General features: G+C 38.2%; 2 protein-coding genes across 20 annotated transcripts in view, besides 4 other annotated features; one reads left to right on the plus strand and one right to left on the minus strand.

Annotated features, from left to right (window-relative positions):
• The window catches only part of DIS3 (DIS3 exosome endoribonuclease and 3''-5'' exoribonuclease), a 29,732-nt gene extending 22,188 nt beyond the window's left edge, over positions 1-7,544 (minus strand). Inside the window, exons 1-7 of one of the 4 annotated variants that reach the window (NM_001322349.2) lie at positions 7,249-7,544; positions 6,933-7,000; positions 6,490-6,647; positions 3,831-4,024; positions 3,064-3,137; positions 1,569-1,736; positions 855-1,019 (exon numbers count right to left, since the gene is read on the minus strand). In NM_001322349.2, coding sequence (NP_001309278.1) covers positions 855-1,019; positions 1,569-1,736; positions 3,064-3,137; positions 3,831-3,924 — 501 coding nt within the window. In that variant the 5' untranslated portion in view covers positions 3,925-4,024; positions 6,490-6,647; positions 6,933-7,000; positions 7,249-7,544. The remainder of the gene's footprint in view (positions 1-854; positions 1,020-1,568; positions 1,737-3,063; positions 3,138-3,830; positions 4,025-6,489; positions 6,648-6,932; positions 7,001-7,248) is intronic. The other 3 variants (NM_014953.5, NM_001128226.3, NM_001322348.2) reach the window with 3 other exon arrangements.
• Positions 6,736-7,650: an enhancer, noted in NCBI's record as "H3K27ac hESC enhancer chr13:73355230-73356144 (GRCh37/hg19 assembly coordinates)". NCBI's record gives its function as "activates a minimal SCP1, AML or CMV promoter by ChIP-STARR-seq in primed H9 embryonic stem cells {active_cell/tissue: H9 hESC(primed)}" and the evidence as "EXISTENCE:reporter gene assay evidence [ECO:0000049][PMID:30033119]".
• Positions 6,736-7,677: a biological region, named in NCBI's record as "H3K27ac hESC enhancer GRCh37_chr13:73355230-73356144".
• Positions 7,238-7,287: a silencer, noted in NCBI's record as "silent region_5396". NCBI's record gives its function as "represses an Ori minimal core promoter by ATAC-STARR-seq in GM12878 lymphoblastoid cells {active_cell/tissue: GM12878}" and the evidence as "EXISTENCE:reporter gene assay evidence [ECO:0000049][PMID:35858748]".
• Positions 7,568-7,677: an enhancer, noted in NCBI's record as "active region_7815". NCBI's record gives its function as "activates an Ori minimal core promoter by ATAC-STARR-seq in GM12878 lymphoblastoid cells {active_cell/tissue: GM12878}" and the evidence as "EXISTENCE:reporter gene assay evidence [ECO:0000049][PMID:35858748]".
• Positions 7,777-19,946, plus strand: part of PIBF1 (progesterone immunomodulatory binding factor 1) — a 234,329-nt gene continuing 222,159 nt past the window's right edge. For 15 of the 16 annotated variants that reach the window (NR_146205.2, NR_146206.2, NM_001349655.2 and 12 more), the window contains exons 1-3: positions 7,777-7,993; positions 9,067-9,365; positions 18,091-18,191. Coding sequence is in view for 13 of the 16 variants with exons in the window: in NM_001349655.2 (NP_001336584.1) it covers positions 9,114-9,365; positions 18,091-18,191 (353 nt within the window). In the remaining 3 variants the exon portion in view is untranslated. The remainder of the gene's footprint in view (positions 7,994-9,066; positions 9,366-18,090; positions 18,192-19,946) is intronic. The other variant, XM_011534885.4, reaches the window with a different exon arrangement.

The following is a 19,946-nucleotide window of genomic DNA, read 5'->3' on the forward strand; positions in this document are numbered from 1 at the left end:
TTTACTGACTAAAATACACACACAGGTCTGGGAATTAGATTAGGGTTTTAGTACTAGTTTGTACAAATTAGCTATGTGGTATGGTGACTAGTTCCCTTTGGACCTTTATTTATTAATTCTAAAGGTTCTTCCTTATAAAAAATAAAAACCCAAATAAAGAGGGTCTGCTATTAGAAATTACAAAAGTTCCTATGGTATTTCACCTCTTAACACTATCCAAAGGCCTGGACTCTCCATGGATAATTTTATAGTGAGACTCCAGAGCAATGAATATAAATGATGGAAAAAGAAGAATAAAAAACTGTTACATGCATTCCAACTATTTATAATATTGTAATTATAAAATACAGAAATAGGCCATATCAAGTAGACTTAGCGCATATCATAAGAAATAACTGAAAGTATTCTCTTCATAATAAATATGGTATCAGATAAGTTGCCCAAATATAATGGCCCAGAATTACGTCTATTATGTTAAGGGAATTTTACCTAAAGCATTTTCTAAAACATTTCCTAAAACATTACTTAAAGCATTTCAGAAAATGTTAAACACATATTTACTTAAATCTCACTAAGTCTAATAATATACTTGACTGTCACAGATTTTCAGTTTCATACTTGTATTAACTCATACTAACAGTCTGTTTGCATTTAAACCCATTTATTTGAGCAAATTAAGACAATAAAAGAAAACTACATAGAAGAGAAAAAAACCATGTGTATGACATGCGTTAAATATACAGAACTATGATTTTATGCAATAAATCTGAAAGCAATGAAACTTGTTTTCCAAAGCTGACATATTAATAATACAAAGCTACACAGACAAAAAAAAATCCTGCTTAGATTCATACCATTCGTTCTGTCTCTTCTTCTTTCTCCACATCTTCTTCATTTTGACCTTCATCATGTAAAACCACAGAAGATGGTGCTACCCACTGACTCTTGGGGAGAAGCTCCACAGCCACAATATCTTCGTGAACAGCTCTGTTTAAATGTTTAAGTCCCTGTAAGATTATCTGTTTAAAACAACAGAGGGCACGTGCCCAAATTATTTTTAATGGCAATATAATAAAGGGAAGATCATCTAACAGATATTTACATACACTCTGAATATCTCTATGGAATCTCTATTTCTCCTTTATAGATTTTCTTTCTCTATTGTGTCCCTAATTCCACAACTTTAATTTCTCAATACCAGGTAGAAAAAATGTAAGTCAGAAAACACAGGCTGTGTTCATGGCTCCATCATAACTTACACTGGTAACAAGAGACTTTGGAAAAATTATTTATGCTCTCTAAATCTCAAGTCCTGATTGGTCAAATAAGAGTACACTACCTAGTTTTTATAGGTTGGGTTGAATATTAAATGAAATGCCATGCGCAAAGATTTAAAAAACTACCTGACAAATTGTGAGCACTGCAAAAAAAAAAAGAAAAAAGTTACTATTTGCTTTAAAGTATGTGAAGCCTCATATGTTACACAAATAGTATTTACCATTAAGTGTTCATAATATATAAAATATCATCTTTATTTTAGTGTATAAGGAATTTATTTATATACTTGCCTCTTTATTTTCTTCATTGTCGCCATGAATCCATACTGTAGCTTCCAAGTAATTTTCCCTGCTAGCTCTAAATGTTCCTTGAAGGTATGTACCAGATTTTATGCCTTGCTGTAGCTTACTTAAGGGAAGATGCTCTGAAAATATTATTTTTCCACTTTCTATTTCATTCTATGAAAGAAGCAAACCAAAAGATGCCGCTAATAAGTCTTCTGTTCACTCAATACACAACTATTATTAATATCAGAGAATTTTTGAAATCTACATTATGATATACACAACTCTGAATAGGAGAGAAGATAGCAGTGTTTCTTATAGGCCAGTGCTAACAAAAACAGCTTTCTATGATGAAGGAAGTATTCATTTTGCGATCTCTAATATGGTAGCCACTAGACACAAGTTTCTCTTGGGCACTTGAAAGACAGATAGTACCACCAAGAAACTGAATTTTTAATACATATTAAATTTAAATAGTCATATATAACTAAGTGGCTACATATTAGGGCAATACTAAATCTGTATTTCAAAAATCAAACCCAACTTTTATCTTCTCATTTCCTTTTGGTTTCATAAAGTATCATAAAGGTAAGAAGGGATGACAGAAGTGTAAAGACTGGATTTATGTATAATGTCCTATCACTTAAAACCTATTTCTATAACAAGGGCTACCATTTATATTTACCATACCTATGTGCCAGGCACTAGGATGAAAATTGTATTAATGCTACAGTTATCATCTTATTTGATCCTTATAACAACACTATGAAGTTATTATTGCTAAACATTATATATTTATATATAAGAAAATGAATGCTCAGAATTTAATTATTCCCTTAGCACTCCTTCTCACATCAGCTATTGTAATGACTCCTTTACTCACCTCTCTGCCTCTAATCTTTCCTGGATAAAATGCTTAATGTTACACACTGACATGAGAGTGGTCTTACAAACAAATACCATTTCCAATCATTCTCTCCTGCTCCACCAATCCACATTCATATACCATTACTTTTTCTTAGCCTGACATATAAGGAAGGGATCTCAGAATCCTTTCCTCTTCATAGCAGCCCTTCAGGGAGATCTTTATAAATCAATTGAAAAATTACTAACCTACAGAATAAGTTCTAGGTCTTTACTATCTGGACACTCCCCTCCCTCTTCTTTCCTCTGTCTGCAGTGCCTGCCACTTCATTTGTCAGCAGCTACTCTTTATTCACAAATCAGCCATGGACTCCGTTCATTTTTTCCTCAACCAAACAGTGCTACCAGGTACCAGGCCCTACTCAGGTTAATGGGAATATATCTATTTTAGAAAGTTAACTCCTTTAGGAATGGCATTTCAATAAGCCTATGACATCCACTCCTGTTTATAACACAACTATTCCAAATCCAGCTTACCCACCGACATTCCAATTTTTAAATTTGGTAACTATATGCCTAATATTCCAAAGTGGCTATTTTAATATTTTTACTTTTCAAAAACAAAACAAAAACATACCCCTTCTTCAGACAAACAAGCAAGACGATCTATGAGTTCGGGGTTAGCAGTTAGGCTCTTTACATATTCTTCACCTGAAAAAATAAGTTTATGTTGTTTTTGATAAGTGTTTTTTCCTTAGATATGAAAAAAATGGATAGTCTTGTTTGCGACAGTATACACGTCATTCTTTCATTCATTGAGACACACTGAGAGTCTCACTCTGTCTCTCAGGCTGGAGTGCAGCGGCGCAATTACACATCACTACAGCCTAGAATCCCTGGGCTCAAGCTACCTTCCTGCCTTAGCCTCCCGAGTAGCTGGGACTATAGTTACATACTACCATGCACGGCTTTTTTTTTTTTTCCTGTAGAGCTATAGTCTCCCTATGTTGCCCAGGCTGGTCCTGAACTCCTGGTCTCAAGCAAGCCTCTTGCCCTGACCTCCCAAAGTGCTGGGATTACAGCACCTGGCCTCAATTTATTTAAAAAACAAAACCCAAAAATCTGTTGATGTGATCATACCTAAGCAGAAGCAGGGGTTCCAGTATATTTATGAGATTTCATTGCTAAACCAGTTGCAAATAGTGAGGGGAAAATTAACAGCCACTGGGCACAACATATTTAGGTTAAAAACTATGTGAAATTTAAAAATACAAAAATATCACATGAAGTTATATAGGACTACGAAAATACTAAATAGTAAAGTGAACATCTGACTATAGGCCTAATGATTATTTTTACACGCATTTGCAAACATGCACTAAGTACTTCTACATTTAGACTTACAAGTGAAAGCTGGTATTCCTTCTTCTATGGCTTTCTCTTTGTTTCTCCTGTCATTTGTTATGAAGATAACTTGCAGCTGGTTGTCTGCTGACATTTTTTTCAAATGTTCATTGTACCATTTTGCTGCTACTCGAATCGCTCTATCATTCCTGTCATTAGCATTTTCTCCCTGTTCTTGTTCTACATAGGTTTCTCTAAATGGAAAGAAAAAACGAAATAAAAGGAAATCAGTAGAAACAAGGATATGTGAAAACTCTTAGCACATAAATGCTTAACCACTAAACTAGAAAAAGTCAATGGTATATCTTTTCTCTTGAATGTATTCAGATGTACACCTCAGAGAAGAAATCAAGATTCTTATAATTAAGTTTTTAAGAAACAATTTGCTTGGAAAAGAAGAAAATTATGTTATTAAGGGGACAAGAAAAAGGCTAATACAATTTTATTTCCTAAAAAGAAAAATTCAAGATCAGAATTTATACTTTAGGTTGAGACACTAAATAATAGTTTGTTGACAAATTATAATACAATTTCACAGGTATGATAATCAGATTTCATTCAAACTGTAGGTTAATAGCAATTCCTAAAAGCTACAAATAGTATAATTAGATCATTTATAATCAGAATTCTACAGTCATTAATAAATAATGCATATAAATTATCCATGGTAAACACTAATAGCTGAAGCTATGTAGAGACTGAAAAGTCAGGTATATTAATAGATATTACGTATTTCTTCTATCTAAACTCCCAAGTATGTCAACACATTCATCTATTTCTTTAAATCTGTTCATCAAAGCCAGGTTTAAGTACAACAGCAAAGTTCACTACAATAGCTTCCAGTACTTAATGGTAATAGATTCAATTTAATAATTTGATTTATATTAATAGTTTTAGAATTATTTTATTCCTCATCGTTGAATGCACTTGCTAATGCTTTTTTTTTTTTTTTGAAACAGAGTCTTGCTCTGTAGCTCAGGCTGGAGTGCAGTGGCATGATCTCAGCTTACTGCAACCTCTACCTCCGGGTTCAAGTGATCCTCCCAACTCAGCCTCGCAAGTAGCTGGGACTAGAGGCATGTACCACCATAACCAGCTAATTTTTGTATTTTTAAGAGACAGGGATTTTCCAGGTTGGCTAAGCTGGTCTGGAACTCCTGGCCTCAAGTGATCTGCCCACCTCAACCTCCCAAAGTGCCAGGATTACAGACATAAGCCACCACGCCCAGCTGCTAATGTTTTAAGCTCATCAGTGAAAGACACAGTCATAAATTTTTGAATTGGTTTTAAACTTGGGTCTTTCTGCACTGAAAAACAAGTGATGTTGCTATTTCTGGATTTCAAGGAGGTACTAACAATAAGAAGCCTACAAGGGCTTTACTGGTATTCTTTACAAGAACATTGAAGTTTGAGATATAAGAATCAAGAAAGTTGAGATATTAAGGTTTTTAAAAATGTGCATAATCTGATGGAATTTCATTACCAGAAGTCTACACTCTAATCCAATGGTTCTCAATTGAGTGAATTCACCCCTCAGGGCATTTTGTATCATTACAACTGAGTGGTGGTGGTGGTGGTGGTGGTGGGGGGGGTAAGGGGTGGTGATCCTGCCAAATAGGCTAGGAACACTGTTAAACATACTACAATGTATAAAACAGCCTTTCCACCACAAAAAAATTATTCAGTTCAAAATATCTATAATGCCAAGATTGAGAAGCCCTGATCTAATCCAATAAAAGTACCATACTCATCATAGATTATTTATGTAATATAACGTAATAGGCAATATCATATTTTTGAGACCACACACTGAGTTCAAAGGTCTTGAATCTAAAAGCACAACAAAGAATTATATTCCTGGCCAGGCACGGTAGCTCATGCCTGTAATCCCACCACTTTGAGAGGCTGAGGCAGGTGGATCACGAGGTCAGGAATTCGAGACCAGCCTGACCAACATGGTGAAACCCTGTCTCTACTAAAAATACAAAAATTAGCCTGGCATAGTGGTGCGTGACTGTAATCCCAGCTACTCAGGAGGCTGAGGCAGAAGAATCGCTTGAACTTGGGAGGTGGAGGTTGCAGTGAGCAGAGATCACACCACTGCACTCCAGCCTGGGTGACAGAGTGAGACTCCATCTCAAAAAAAAAAAAAAAAAAAAAAAAAGAATTCTATTCCTTAACCTAATCTTGCTCAATGTAATCAGCTGCAAAGTATTAAACTTTTAAAAAGACCATTAAGAATAAATCTACTTTCTATTTTTAAACAAAATAGAAACTTCACAAACTCATATATTTTATTACCCTCTGTTAGTTGTTCACATAATATGGTATTCCAGGAACTTAAGCAAATCTCATCTTCCAAGATTCTATGGTCCAACTCATGCTAAAACCAATTCAAAATGAAAACATTTTGGAAATTAAAGTACCTATTGTAGTCTAGGAGTCAGCAGACCTTGGTTTTAGGCTTGAGCCCATCAATGCCTGTGTGACCTTAGAGAGATCCACTTAGCATTATCTTCTGCACAGCCATGTAAGAATTAAATAAGGTATGAAATCTATCACTTATCTTCTGACAATGTCATAAATTACTCACAGGAACCCTCTCCCGAATTTTGCTAATCCTGTGGTTTTCTGATATTTAACGTAATATTCCTCCTACCTATGGTGCTCATTAGTGAAAGTATAGAAATGCTTCTCTTGGTTATTAGTCACATCTCGGATGCGTTTATATACGGGGGCACTGCGATTTCTCACTTCTTGAAGAACTGTTTGTAGCACAATTACATTCCTGATGGCAGGGTCCTCAAGAACATCAATCTTAAAGAAAGATAAAGTTAATTTTTCCTATATTCATTTGTAAATAGCTCTGTCAAACATAAAATCCTGTTTTATGTTGGGCATAAATACTTTATGTTTTAAAAACACTGAATAAGTTAAGCCAAGAAGCTATTTGGCTATAGAAAACGAGACAATAGTCACTAAACCCTTCAGATCTATTAAAAAAAGCACACTTAAACAGACCAATCACAAGACTTCGTAGAATTAAGGGTATTAATAAAGGAATACGTTGGCCCACATAGTTTTTTGTTCCTAGGCACTTACAAGCTGCCTGGGAGTCGCAGGCTGGAGGCCACAGAAGCCCAGGTCCCCGGCCTCCAGGCACTTACAATCTAAGGCAGAAGAGACACCAGGAGTTAGAAAAATAACGTGTCTGAACTACGACTCCAAGAACTAAATTTTTTAAAGCACAAGGAAAAGAACCTCGGCCTGGGGAACAGGAAGCTTCGGTCCCGAGGGGGTTTCCCTTTCGCTAGGTATGTGACACTGCCAAAGACCCGCCTCCCTGGGCCTCAGTTTCCCTGTCATACCCCCTTGTCCCCGTGGGGCCGCGCTGTCCGCGGTTCGCCCGCCCACGCACCTGGTGCAGTAACACATTAGTGTCGGGCAGCAAGTAGTGCGGTTGCGGGCAGACGCTGCTCGCCGGGTCCTGGGGCTGCGGCTCCAGGGCCGGCCCCTCGTGCGCCCCTCCACACGCTGCGCACCCGGGCGCACCGCAGCCGATGTCGTCTCGCAGGTAGTGCTCGCGCACGATCTTCATCACGCCGCCCGCCCGGGTCTTTTTTAAGAACGTCTTGGACTTGAGCATCTTGCCTCGCCGCGCAGAATCCTAACCCCAGCAGCGCTCTTCCAGCAAAAGGCGTCAATCTAGAATACGCCTAACCCCGGAGGTTCTTCCCTTTCCATTCCCGGATATTAGTAACACTTCTCGCGGGAAAATGCCGAGATAAACATTGGTTGGCTCTCTGACGGCCGCGGGGATTGGGCGAGAGTGGGGAGGGGCGGCAAAGCAAGGCGAGGAGCCATTTCCGCCCGTGGCCTAGGCGGGGCTTCCTTCTGGACGCCACCTCACAACGTGTGTTGCTTTCCGCTCCTCGGAACATCCGGGAGAGTTGACTTCCGGCGGCTTGTGGGAGTGCTGGTTCTGTCCTCCTTGCGGGTGCGGAGATGGTTGTCTTGGTTACGGGTCCTAACGGTCCCCTGCCTTGAAATCCCTTGTTGAGGGCCTGCAACCTTGTGCTTCCGACCGGAGACGCCTTTGGTCCCTCGGTGTCTGCACTGGCTGCTGGTCAAGGCTTCAGTGTGGAGTAATTGACACTTTCGAGGTAACTTGCGACTATCATCGCTTTCTTTCCCGCGTGGGGCAAGGAATCCCCCGAGCTGCCAAGTTTGGGGCTTAATTTTCACGCCGAGTGTATAGGCAGTCCCCGTCTCGGGCCCTTTGTAATCGAGGAGAGAATTTGTCTTTGAATTCACTTTTTCTTACCTATTTCCCTTCAAAAAGAAGGAGGGAGGCCGATCTTAGTATAGTTCTCGCTGTTTCCCCTCCACACACCTTTCCTTATCATTCAGTTTAGAAAAACTGAAATATTTAATAGCATAATTTGTTATATCATGAGGTATTAAAACAAGGTAGTTGCTAACATTCTTATGAGAGAGTTAGAAGTAAGTTCTATTTAGAATTTCTTGAATTTTTCTTATATCCTGTTGTTTTCATTCTGCTATCTATAAAAAATGTTTTTGTCCCCGTTTTCCCTATTTAAAACATCTTCAATGATGCCTCATTGCCTGTAGAATAAAATCCAACCCTATTTTGACATTTAAGGCCTTCCAGTCTTGATCGTTAAGGGCGTGTGTGTGTGTGTGTGTGTGTGTGTGTGTGTTTGTGTTTGTGTTGGGGGGGCGGTGAAAGGAGTAACTATTCCAAGACTTGGCTTTGTTTTTTTACTTCCACTTACGTATCATTAATAACTGCATGATTTCTCCTTTTTACCATGCCTGTCCAAATCTTTAAAGATTCTAAGTGCTACCTCTGTGTAACGTTTCCCTGACCAACTCAGACGTGATTTCTGTTATCTTTGAGCATGTGTTGGTTTTAGTGGTGCCATTCTTGATTATAATGGGCTTTTTTCTTCATCTTGTACATTTCTTTGTTTCCTCCAAGTAAGATTCCTCCCCGCAGGAACTGTTTTTTTAAGTTTCTCGAAGGCTGACTTCATATTAGGAATTAATGTGTTTGATTTGAGCATTAACTTAACTGCAATAATCTGTTCTAGATTTGGGATGCACTAAATTGCCTAATATTTATTTAAGGAATCCTTAGTCTCTCTTTAATACAGTCCATGATTTCTGTAGTTAATTTTATAGTACATTTGAATTAATGTTTTTTAACCTACAGAATATTAAAATCAAATTAGAGAAGAAAACTGATCCATAATAATAAAAATGTCTCGAAAAATTTCAAAGGAGTCAAAAAAAGTGAACATCTCTAGTTCTCTGGAATCTGAAGATATTAGTTTAGAAACAACAGTTCCTACGGATGATATTTCCTCATCAGAAGAGCGAGAGGGCAAAGTCAGAATCACCAGGCAGCTAATTGAACGAAAAGAACTACTTCATAATATTCAGTTACTAAAAATTGAGCTATCCCAGAAAACTATGATGATCGACAATTTGAAAGTGGATTATCTTACAAAGGTAAGATCAGGTTTAAATTTTGTGTTCTATATGCTTTATTGTCTTCAAACGGCAGGTAAATAAGAATTAAATACACACATTATCTGAACTTGAAATGATACATTTATATTTCTTGACAAGTACAGCCTTTAAATAATTTTGGTGTTCATAGAAGTAGAGAATAGAATGGTGGTTACCAAGGGCTGGCATGGTTAGGGGTGAAGGAGGGTTGGGGAGATGTTGGTCAAAGGATACATAATTACAGTTGAATAGGAGGAATACATTCAAGAGATCTATTGGACAGCATGGTGGCTATAGTTAATGACATTGTAATCTTGGAAAACATTGTGTTTTTGAAAAACACAGCAGATGTTAAGTGTTCTCATTACTAAAATAACTATGTGAGGTAAAACATTTTTTAATTAGCTAGAGTTAACCATTTCACAATGTACGTATACTTCAAAACATTATGTTGTACATGACATATACACACAGTTTTATCTGTCAGTTGGGATCACCTGAGGTCAGGAGTTTGAGACCAACCTGGCCAACATTGTGAAACCCCAGCTCTACTTAAAAAAAAAAAAAAAAAAAAATTAGCCAGCCATGATGGTGGGTGCCTGTAATCCCAGCTGCTCGGGAGGCTGAGGCAGGAGAATTGCTTGAACCCAGGAGGCAGAGTTTGCAGTGAGCCACAATCGTGCCACTGCACTCCAGCCTGGGCAACACAGCAAGACTCTCAAAAACTAGTAATAATAATAATAATAATAATTGGAGGCCAAGTGCGGTGGCTCACACCTGTAATTCCAGCACTTTGGATGCTGAGGCCAGTGGATTGCTCCAAGCTCAGGAGTTCGAGACTACCCTGAGCAACATGGTGAGACCACCCTTGCTACTAAAAAAATAAAATAGCCCCGCGTAGTGGTGCTGCGCCTGCAGGCCCAGCTACTTCCGAGGCTGAGGCGGGAGAATCACTTGAATCCGGGGGCAGACATTGCAGTGAGCTGAGATCGTACCACTGCACTCCAGCCTGGGTAACAGAGTGAGACCCTATCTCAAAAAAATAATAATAATAATTTAAGTATTGAAATATGGAGTGATTTAAACGTAGATATGGATAAATTACTTTTGTAGGCTCAATTTAAAAAATCTAACATATGAGGTATTTTGTTGTTTTTTGTTGTTGTTGTTGGAGACAGTCTTGCTCTGTCACCCAGGCTGGAGTTCAGTGGCACAATCTTGGCTCACTGCAACCTCCACCTCTTGGGTTCAAGCAATTCTCCTGCCTCAGTCTCCCACGTAGCTGGGATTACAAGTGCTCCCCACCATGCCCAGCTAGCTCTCTGGGATCACTTTTATAAGGGCACCAATCCCAACAGTGAGGGTTCTACCCTTATAACCTAATCACCCCAAAGGCCCCAACTTCCTGCTACTCACATTGGTGATTAGGTTTCAATATACAAATTTTGAGGGGAGAAAAAAAAATAAGCACACAAGACGTATTAGCCGTTGTTGTTTTCAACTAACATAGCATCCTTATCTGTTTCATCCCTTTCATTTTCTGTGCCTTTTATGGCCATCGGACTGAATTTGTTTGTTATTTGTCTGTGAATAGACTATGAGGTCCATGAGGACGGGGATGTTTTTGTATTCATGGTTGTATTTCCAGCACTTAGAACGGTGCCTGACACAAATTAAGTGCCCAGCTATTTCTTAAATGAATGACTGAACCCCATTTTGCTCTGATTAAACAAAGCCACTAGGTGGTTAATAGCATACCCAAGGCCATTCAGATGAAAGTGATAGAGCCAGATAGGATTCAAACCTAGGAAGTCTAAAGCCTATACTCTACACAAGTGAAGCTCCAAACACTTTCTTTTAGGTACCCTATACAGTCACCTACCTAGTCTAGGTCACTTGGTAGTTTATCCATGCATCCAGTGGTTTCCCATCCCTATTCCCTTACTCTTTTTGCATTTCACATGAACTCCATCTACCTTCACCTCTCCAGACCTTAGTGCAACTCATTGAAGAAACCTGAGGTTATCTCCCATTCATTAATTCACCCACTCAGTCAACAAGTATTTTTTTAAGTGCCACCTGTATACCATATCCAGACTTACATTTTGTTCAGCCACCTCTTGTATTATTTGTTTTCAACTTGCATTGTCCTTGGTTGTCAATGGCTTTGCTTCTTTTTAGGTGTAAGCTTTATATTATAGAAATGTTGGTTGATTCATGACAGGCTCTCTAGTGTAACAAATCCAAATTACAGTTCTAGATGCACACAGTTTGGGTTTTGAATTCCAGCCTTACTAAATTCCTTAATGTTTTTATTCCGTGATTTCCTATAAAATGATAATAGTATTTATTCCGTGGAATTATCGGGAGGATTAATCAATGTATGTAAGCTCATAGATGCTTGGTGTATACTAATAATAAACTTATTATTTACATATTATTTTATTTGTAGCTATACTTACTCAGCACAATATTATTATTTTTCTACTTCCATGGTGCTTAGTGTAGTTTTTGTTGTGGTTTTCTAGTTTGACTGAAAATGTAGAAGATTGCAATAGTCGTGTTCCTGAGTTTGACACATAATCATCATTGATCCCTGAAAGGCTGCTGTTTTTCTAATGTATTTATTCTTTTCATTCCTATAGCTCATTCCATTTCTTAATGCAAACATTTTAATGTTTTGTTTACATGTATTCTTGAGAATGTGTATCTTTTAACTTTACAGAAATGTAAATTATATGCTTTGTTTTAGTTCTCATCTCTTTTTTCCTACTCAGCACTGTTTTTGAAGTTATCTATTACTTTGTATACATCTAGTCCTTTGCTTCCAACTCTTATGTAATTCTTTGTGTGCGTCTACCAGTCTTTCTACTCCTACATTGCTAGGCATCCAGATTGCCTCCAGCTCCTTGCAACACATGCAGCATTAGACATTTCTCTTCTGGACCTCTGTGAGCATGTCTTTGACATATATAAATGTCTCCTTCATTTAACTAAGTGTACTGCCAGGTTATCTCCAAAATAGCTGCCCTGCTGTATATTAGTAGAGTTTTTTTCTCTATCATACGAGCACTCAGGATTCTCTGCTTGAAGACTCTTTAGGAATAAGATGTTTGCTCTCAAATATATGAAGAAATACCTATTGTAGAGTTAGCCTTCCATAATTTATTGAACCTAAAGCACCTCTGTTGTAAGATGCATCATTACATACATTGCTAAGGTTAAACACTTCCAGTTGAATTGTTAAGTGCCTTAGATTGTAAAATGCATTCCAATTTTAGAGATGTTAAAATGTGAGAAAGTGTGAGTCTGGAGTTGATGAAAGAATATTTAAAAAATATTTTTATTAAAGAATATGTATATGTATGTTAATGTGTGTATGTGTGTATATATATGTTTACTTCTTACATGCCCTGGGAATAACACCTTAGACAGGCAAACAGCACTACACACATGATATATATTTTTTCACTTATTTGTTTATGTATAAATTGGTATGTGACATATTTCTTTATATGTTTTAAAATAACACCTTTATTTGTATGTGTTATTATATGTTTAGTTATGTCTTTATTTTTGTCTTTATGTGTGAAGCACTCCAGATGAACAAAGTGCTACACTGTTTCTTGTGAGCAGTGATTCTAAAGCTAGTACACCCCACTGAATTTTGTCCCTCTGGTCGATTGTGAGGACTCAGAAGTATATTGGACTCCTGGTGTTAGAGCTGTTTGTTTTCTTGGTGTTTCAATGAGGTCCAGCTCTAGAAGAAAGCAAAGAAGGTTCATGGGGTATTTTGAAATGAACAGGGTCCCCAAAAGCCTGATGGATCTGGTAACACCACGCGGTATTTGATTCAAATCTATCTGGTAGCATCCTCTCTGAATTTTTAAGTGAAGAAGAAAGGGGCTCAATTTGGTAGTGCTGCCATATACTTTTTTTTTCTTTTAATTTTTTTGAGACAGAGTCTCACTCTGTTGCCCAGGCTGGAGTGCAGTGGCATGATCTCAGCTCACTACAACCTTCACTTCCTGTGTTCAAGCGATTCTTGTGCCTCAGCCTCCCGAGTAGCTGGGACTGTAGGCCCGTGCCACAACGCCCAGCTAAGTTTTGTATTTTTGGTAGAGATGGGGGTTTCACTATGTTGGCCAGGCTGGTCTCGAACTCCTGGCCTCAAGCAATCCACCCATTTCAGCCTCCCAAAGTGCAGGTGTGAAGCCACTGCACCCAGCCATGCCATACACTTTTTAGCCTGGGCAGGAAACTTAAAGCCTAGGTCTTGAAAGAAAGGTATTTTTAATTGGTCATTCATTCTCCAAAGCTTATTGAGCATCGTATGCTAACGTTATGAAAAATAAATTTTCCTCACTAGACTATAGCTCCATGATAATGGTTGGAAGTCACAGGAAAGGTAGATTTCTGCTCAGTGTAAGCCTGTTATTGCTATTAACATTGAAATGGCCTGATCTTAAGTTTCTGAGCTTCCTGTCATTGGAAGCATTTAAGTAGTCCTGAATAGTCAACTGTTAATAAATATTATAGGTATTTCTATTTTGGAAAGAGATTGAACCAACTGCCCAGGGTTTCAAGGATTAAGTTCAGCAGTTAATACCAGAGACTTGAAAAATGGTGGTTTCTGGTAACAGAGACCTGGAAACCATGGCTTAAGCAAGAGAAGGATTTTGTTTCTTTGGTATAACAAAAATCCAAAAATAGGTATTTTAGTAGACCTCAAGTGATTACTCCTTGATCGCATTAGGAACCCAGGCTCCTTTTAACCTTAGCTATTTTCAACATATGCTTTTCACCTGAAATCATAAGATAGCTTATCTGCCTCCAGTATTGTGTACATGTAAAAGGTGGTAATAAGGAGAAGGATAGTGGAAAAGGGGGCATGTGCCAAATGAGTCAGTCCTCTTTAAAGAGTTCTTCCAGAAGTTCAAGCCAGTGGCCTCAATTGACTAACATTGTATAGCATGACCACCCCTACCTACAAGGGATGGGAAGCTAACTGGACATGTTGTTACTAATAAAAACCAGAGTATGTCAGAAAGAAGGGAAGGTTTGATGTTGGGAGGCAAGTAAGTTTTTTCTTCTACCCATCAAAATCTTTTTTTAGTTAGAAAATATTTGAATCTAACATGTCCCACTCCATTGTGGCACCAATACAAATGGTTATGGATACATGGCTTTATTATAGTTTGTTACTAGGAATAGTCTTGGCCGTATTGATTTGAATTCTCCATGTCTAAAAACAGGAACAAGCAGGTCCAAGAACACTTTAAAAGCACTTCCCACTCAGCTGCTTGTTAACTGAAAGAATGTAGAAAAGCTACTCAGAAGAGTAGCTATTCAGGCCAAACTTCCTGATAGTAGAGCATTGTTAGCTTTACACTTTTATTTCCATCTATTGCTGCCTAGATTCCCTTCCTTACTGTACTTCTTTATTCCTTTCCTCTTCTCTGTTCTTGCCTTTCAAATTTTTAGACAGGGTCTCACTCTCTTGCCCAGGCTGGAGTGCAGTGGCTTGATCACAGCTCTCTGCAGCCTCAAATTACTGGGCTCAAGCAATCCTCTCATCTCAGCCTCTTGAGCAGCTGAGACTACAGGCGTGTACCACCACACCCAGCTAATTTTTTTAATTTTTTTGTAGAAACAGGGTCTCACTATGTTGTCCAGGCTAGTCTCAAACTCCTGGCTTCAAGCAATCCTCCCACCTTGGCCCCCCAAAGTGCTGGGTTTACAGCCTGAGCCACAGAATTGAGCTCTTTAAAATTTTTAAATGCCCCAAACTCTTTTTATTTATCTCTCATTAGAGATCTGTGGGTTCCTTATTACCTGGGAAATGAATACATTTCCCAGCTTGTCCTTGAGTTAAGAGACTCAATTTAGAAGTTAATTGAAATTATAAACATTGAAACCCTGAAAAAAATGTTTTTTTTTTCCTCGTGATACAGGTTGTTTCTTATCTAAAATGCTTGGGACCAGAAATATTTCAGATTTTTGATTTTTTTTTTAATTTGGGAATATTTGTGTTAGACCAGTTGAGCATCCCAGATCTGAAAGTCTGAAATCCAAAAGGGTCAACTGAGCATTTCCTTTGAGTGTCATAGTGACTCTCAAAAAGTTTCAGACTTCAGAGCATTTTGAATTTCAGATTTTAGGGTTTGGGATGCTCAACATGTAACAGTATTCTTGATTTGGGAAACAGTAATTATAAGGAATGTGTTTATTTTACATTTTATATTGATTTATTTATTGAGATGTTGCTGGATATATGCCAATGGATATGACAGAGGTCCCCCTTCTTATGGCCAAGACAGAAAATATTTTATGCTTTGTAGGCCACCTATGCTCTATCAGATTTTTCTTATGGGCTGGATTTAGCCCATCACCATTTTTTAATTCTTGCTTTAGACTATGTAGTCAGAAAAGCTATTGGCAAAGTTTAGCAGTTAAGAGTTACATGTCCTGATTTCTGTATTCAAAATGGCACTAAAATAATAGACTAAGGGCAGACAAGACAGAAACAGAAGAGTTACATTCCTAAGTTTTTGGCTTATTTAACTGGGGCCATTTATAAGAATGGAAGGCTGGGAGAAAACTGATCTGGGAGGTAAAATATATTAATAAGTTCAGTTTTGAAGGTGTAACTTATAGATTCCTAAATGTAATTGTCAGTTAGAGTTTAGGAGGAGTCCATCACACACACACACACACACACACACACACACACACACACACACTTATAGATAGATCACACACACCCTTATAGATAGATCACACACACACATAGATAGATAGATAGATAGATAGATAGATAGATAGATAGATAGATAGATAGATAAATCAGCATATAGGTGGCACCTAAAGCCATGGGATTGTATGGTATTTCCTAGGGAGAACAGAGGGCTATAAAGTAAGTCAAAGGGGTAGTCCAGCTGAGGAGCCTAGAAAGCTTAAGAGTATTTAGTGAGTTAAGAAAACTAGAGAAGAGTATCATGGAAGCTAAAAGAGAATGAAGTGGTTAGCTGTATCAAGTCATGCTGTCAAATAAGATAAATAGGCAGAAAAAAACAATGCACAGGACATTATGGACTTTAACAAGAATAGTTTCACTGGAATAGTATGGGGCAAAAACTATATTGAAGTTTTGCTCTGAAGACCAACAGAGAAATGGTGCTATAGCAAAGAGAATGATGTGATCAAGGGACCATTTGCTTGATGATAGAATGATTCAGTAGAGAAGAGGGACTTGACGATGCAAGAGGAGGGATTTACTTGCATATGTTATGGATTGGCTGTGAAATTCATGTATTTTTGTTTGTTTGTTTGTTTGTTTGTTTGTTTGTTTTAGATGGAGTCTCACTCTGTCGCCCAGGCTGGAGTGCAGTGGCATGATCTCAGCTCACTGCAACCTCCGCCTCCCGGGTTCACGCGATTCTCCTGCCTCAGCCTCCCGAGTAGCTGGGACTACAGGCACATGCCACCACACCCGGCTAATTTTTTGTATTTTTAGTAGAGACAGAGTTTTACTATGTTAGCCAGTATGGTCTCCATCTCCTGACCTTGTGATACACCCGCCTCATCCTCCCAAAGTGCTGGGATTACAGGTGTGAATCACCACGCCCTGCCTGAAATTCATGTATTTTAAGGGGCAAACAGGAATCGTCTTGGTTAAAGCAAAGGGAATAAAGAATTTTCTAAATAGACTAAGAGCAAAATCCAAGTGCTTGAGAAAGCACAGCATACTTGGGGGATGGCAAGCACTTAATATTGGCTGAAATGGAGTTTCCTTTTAAGCTAATGACAAAAGTAGTTGGCTAGATCAAGAAATACCACTGTATTATGCCACAGTGTTTAGAATTTATTCTGAGGACAGTGAGGATCCTCTGAAGAATGTAAAACTAGGAAAATAATTTTTTTTTTTTTGAGACGGAGTCTCGCTCTGTCTCCCAGGCTGGAGTACAGTGGTGCAATCTTGGCTTACTGCAGCCTCCGCCTTCCAGGTTCAAGTGATTCTCCTGCCTCAGCCTCCTGAGTAGCTGTGACTACAGGCGCCCGCCACCATGCCTGGCTAATTTTTGTATTTTTTAGTAAAGATGGAGTTTCACCATGCTGGCCAGGCTTATCTTGAACTCCCGACCTCAAGTTGTCTGCCCGCCTCGGCCTCCCAAAGTGCTGGGATTACAGGCGTGAGCCACCGCACCCAGCTGAAAATAAATTTTTGATAGCATTTTTTAAAGGTAAGATAGAGGAATATAAATTTGGAGGTTGGCAAAACTGGAGGCAGGAGGCCAGGCGCGGTGGCTCATGCCTGTAATCCCAGCATTTTGGGAGGGCAAGGTGGACTGATCACTTGAGGTCAGGAGTTCAAGAACACCCTGACCAACATGGTGAAACCCTGTCTCTACTAAAAATACAAAAATTAACCGGGTGTGGTGGCACTTGGCTGTAATCCCAGCTACTCAGGAGGCTGGGGCAGTAGAATCACTTGAACCTGGCAGGAGGAGGTGGCAGTGAGCCAAGGTTGCGCCACTGCACTCTAGCCTGGGCAACAGCACTTGGCCTTCCAAAGTGCTGGAATTATAGGCGTGAGCCCCTGTGCCTGGTCCCTCTATCCATTTTTAGCCTGTTTCTTTCAAGTGTTTTTAAAATATGTTTATTATGAAACTGAAAGTTTTTCTTTATGACAAATCATATAATTTATCTTTTTCTCTTTACGAAGATTGAAGAATTGGAGGAGAAACTTAATGATGCACTTCACCAGAAGCAGCTACTAACATTGAGATTAGACAACCAATTGGCTTTTCAACAGAAAGATGCCAGGTAAGAAAAGTTTTTTTTAAAAAAAAAACAACATCTATTTAGCAATTAAAAGTAATTTTATTGCCTGTTCATGTTTGTGACTGTAAGCTAAAATAGAGAAATTTTAAGTCAGAGATAGCAATAATTTTTACACCTAGACCACAAAAAAAGTAGGATACTTGATATGGTACATAAAATACAGAAAGTCAAAATTCAACATTCATTCAACAAACATTGGTCAGTGTAAACCATATATGATAAAGGAAGCTCTCTAAACTGACCACCATTAACCTTTCTTCTTTTACGCAACATATTGATTGATTCTCATGACCCATTGGACTTTCCTGGCCTGAAGTACTTTCTATTATTCCTGTGTACTTTCTCTAGCTCAGTTGTGGGCTTATCATGCTTAAATATGCCTATGGCAATTATACTTATGTAACTTAATTAAAAATAATACAAACAATGAAATAAATTCTTTGGAACGATTCAATAAAAGGAACTAAAAAAATTATGAAATTAAATATAAGCAACACAAGTTTAAAGATTGAGGGCAAACATGAAATCCATATAAGATACCTTCATTGGTTTCTTCCTAAATGTCTTTTAGGATCTCATGCCATTGTAAAGAAATTGAACTTGGAAATCATACATGATGATTTACACAAAATCAAATCATACCTCTGTATTCAAAATATCTGGATCCTATATAAAAATGTGAATGTTTAGTTCTATGTTTTAATTACAGGTAAAAGTGTAAAACAGGTAAATTTTCCCTTTTTAAGATTTTACTACTTAACTGATATTGTAAAAAATTATCGGACCTTTTTATCAGCCACTATCACACTAGATTAGTGGACCTCAAACTTTAGCATGTATCAGGAACAGTTGAAGGGCTTGTTAAAGAAGCCTACTGGATCCCACCCTCAGAGTTTCTGACTTGTGGGGGTGGGGTCCTGAGAATGTGCATTTTTACTGGGTTCGCAGGTGATGCAGATGCTGCTGGTCCAGAAACAATACTTTGAGAACCACTGCATTTGATAATAGGTCTTCTATGCTAATTCTGTAAGACATATATCAGATTGAATGATGCTGCTGAGAGGGCAGTCACGAGTCTATTGTAATAAAACTCTTGATAGCTGATGGTCATAAAAAATGGTTGGATTCTGAATATTTTTTGGAGGGCTGATGGATTCAATGTGGGGCTTAAGAGAAAAAGGGGAGTCAAGGATTACATCAAAAGTTTTGGCCTGAACAAATGAAAAAATGGAATTTCTGTCAGCTAAGAAGAAAGAAATCATGGTAGCAAAGGTTTTGTGAGTAAAAAGCCTGAGTTCAATTTGGGACATGTTAAGTTGGAGTTTTCTAGTTAGAAATCCATGTGGAGGTATACGAAAAGTCTCGTGTAGAGGTACAAATCTGGGGATCATTAGGCTATAGACAGTATTCAAGTCATGAGACTAGATGAATTCCCCAAGGAGTGCGTACAGACAGAAGAGGACCAAGTACTCCAACATTAAGACAAAGCAGAAAAGGAGACTGAGAAGGAACCACAGTAAAATAGAAGAAAAATGAACAGTATGATGTCTTGGAAGCCAGGTGATGAAAATGTATCAAGGAAAGAAAGTGACTTGTGTCAAGCTCTATCATTAGATCATGGAGGAAAAGAACTAAGAATTGATCATTTGCAATTTAGATGTCATTGAGATTTCATTGGAGACAGTAAAAATATGATCGCCATGGGTTTAAGAGGAAAGGATTTGGAGACAATAATTA

The sequence above is a fragment of the Homo sapiens genome, chromosome 13 (assembly GCF_000001405.40).
Source record: "Homo sapiens chromosome 13, GRCh38.p14 Primary Assembly".
Classification (NCBI taxonomy): Eukaryota; Metazoa; Chordata; class Mammalia; order Primates; family Hominidae; genus Homo; species Homo sapiens.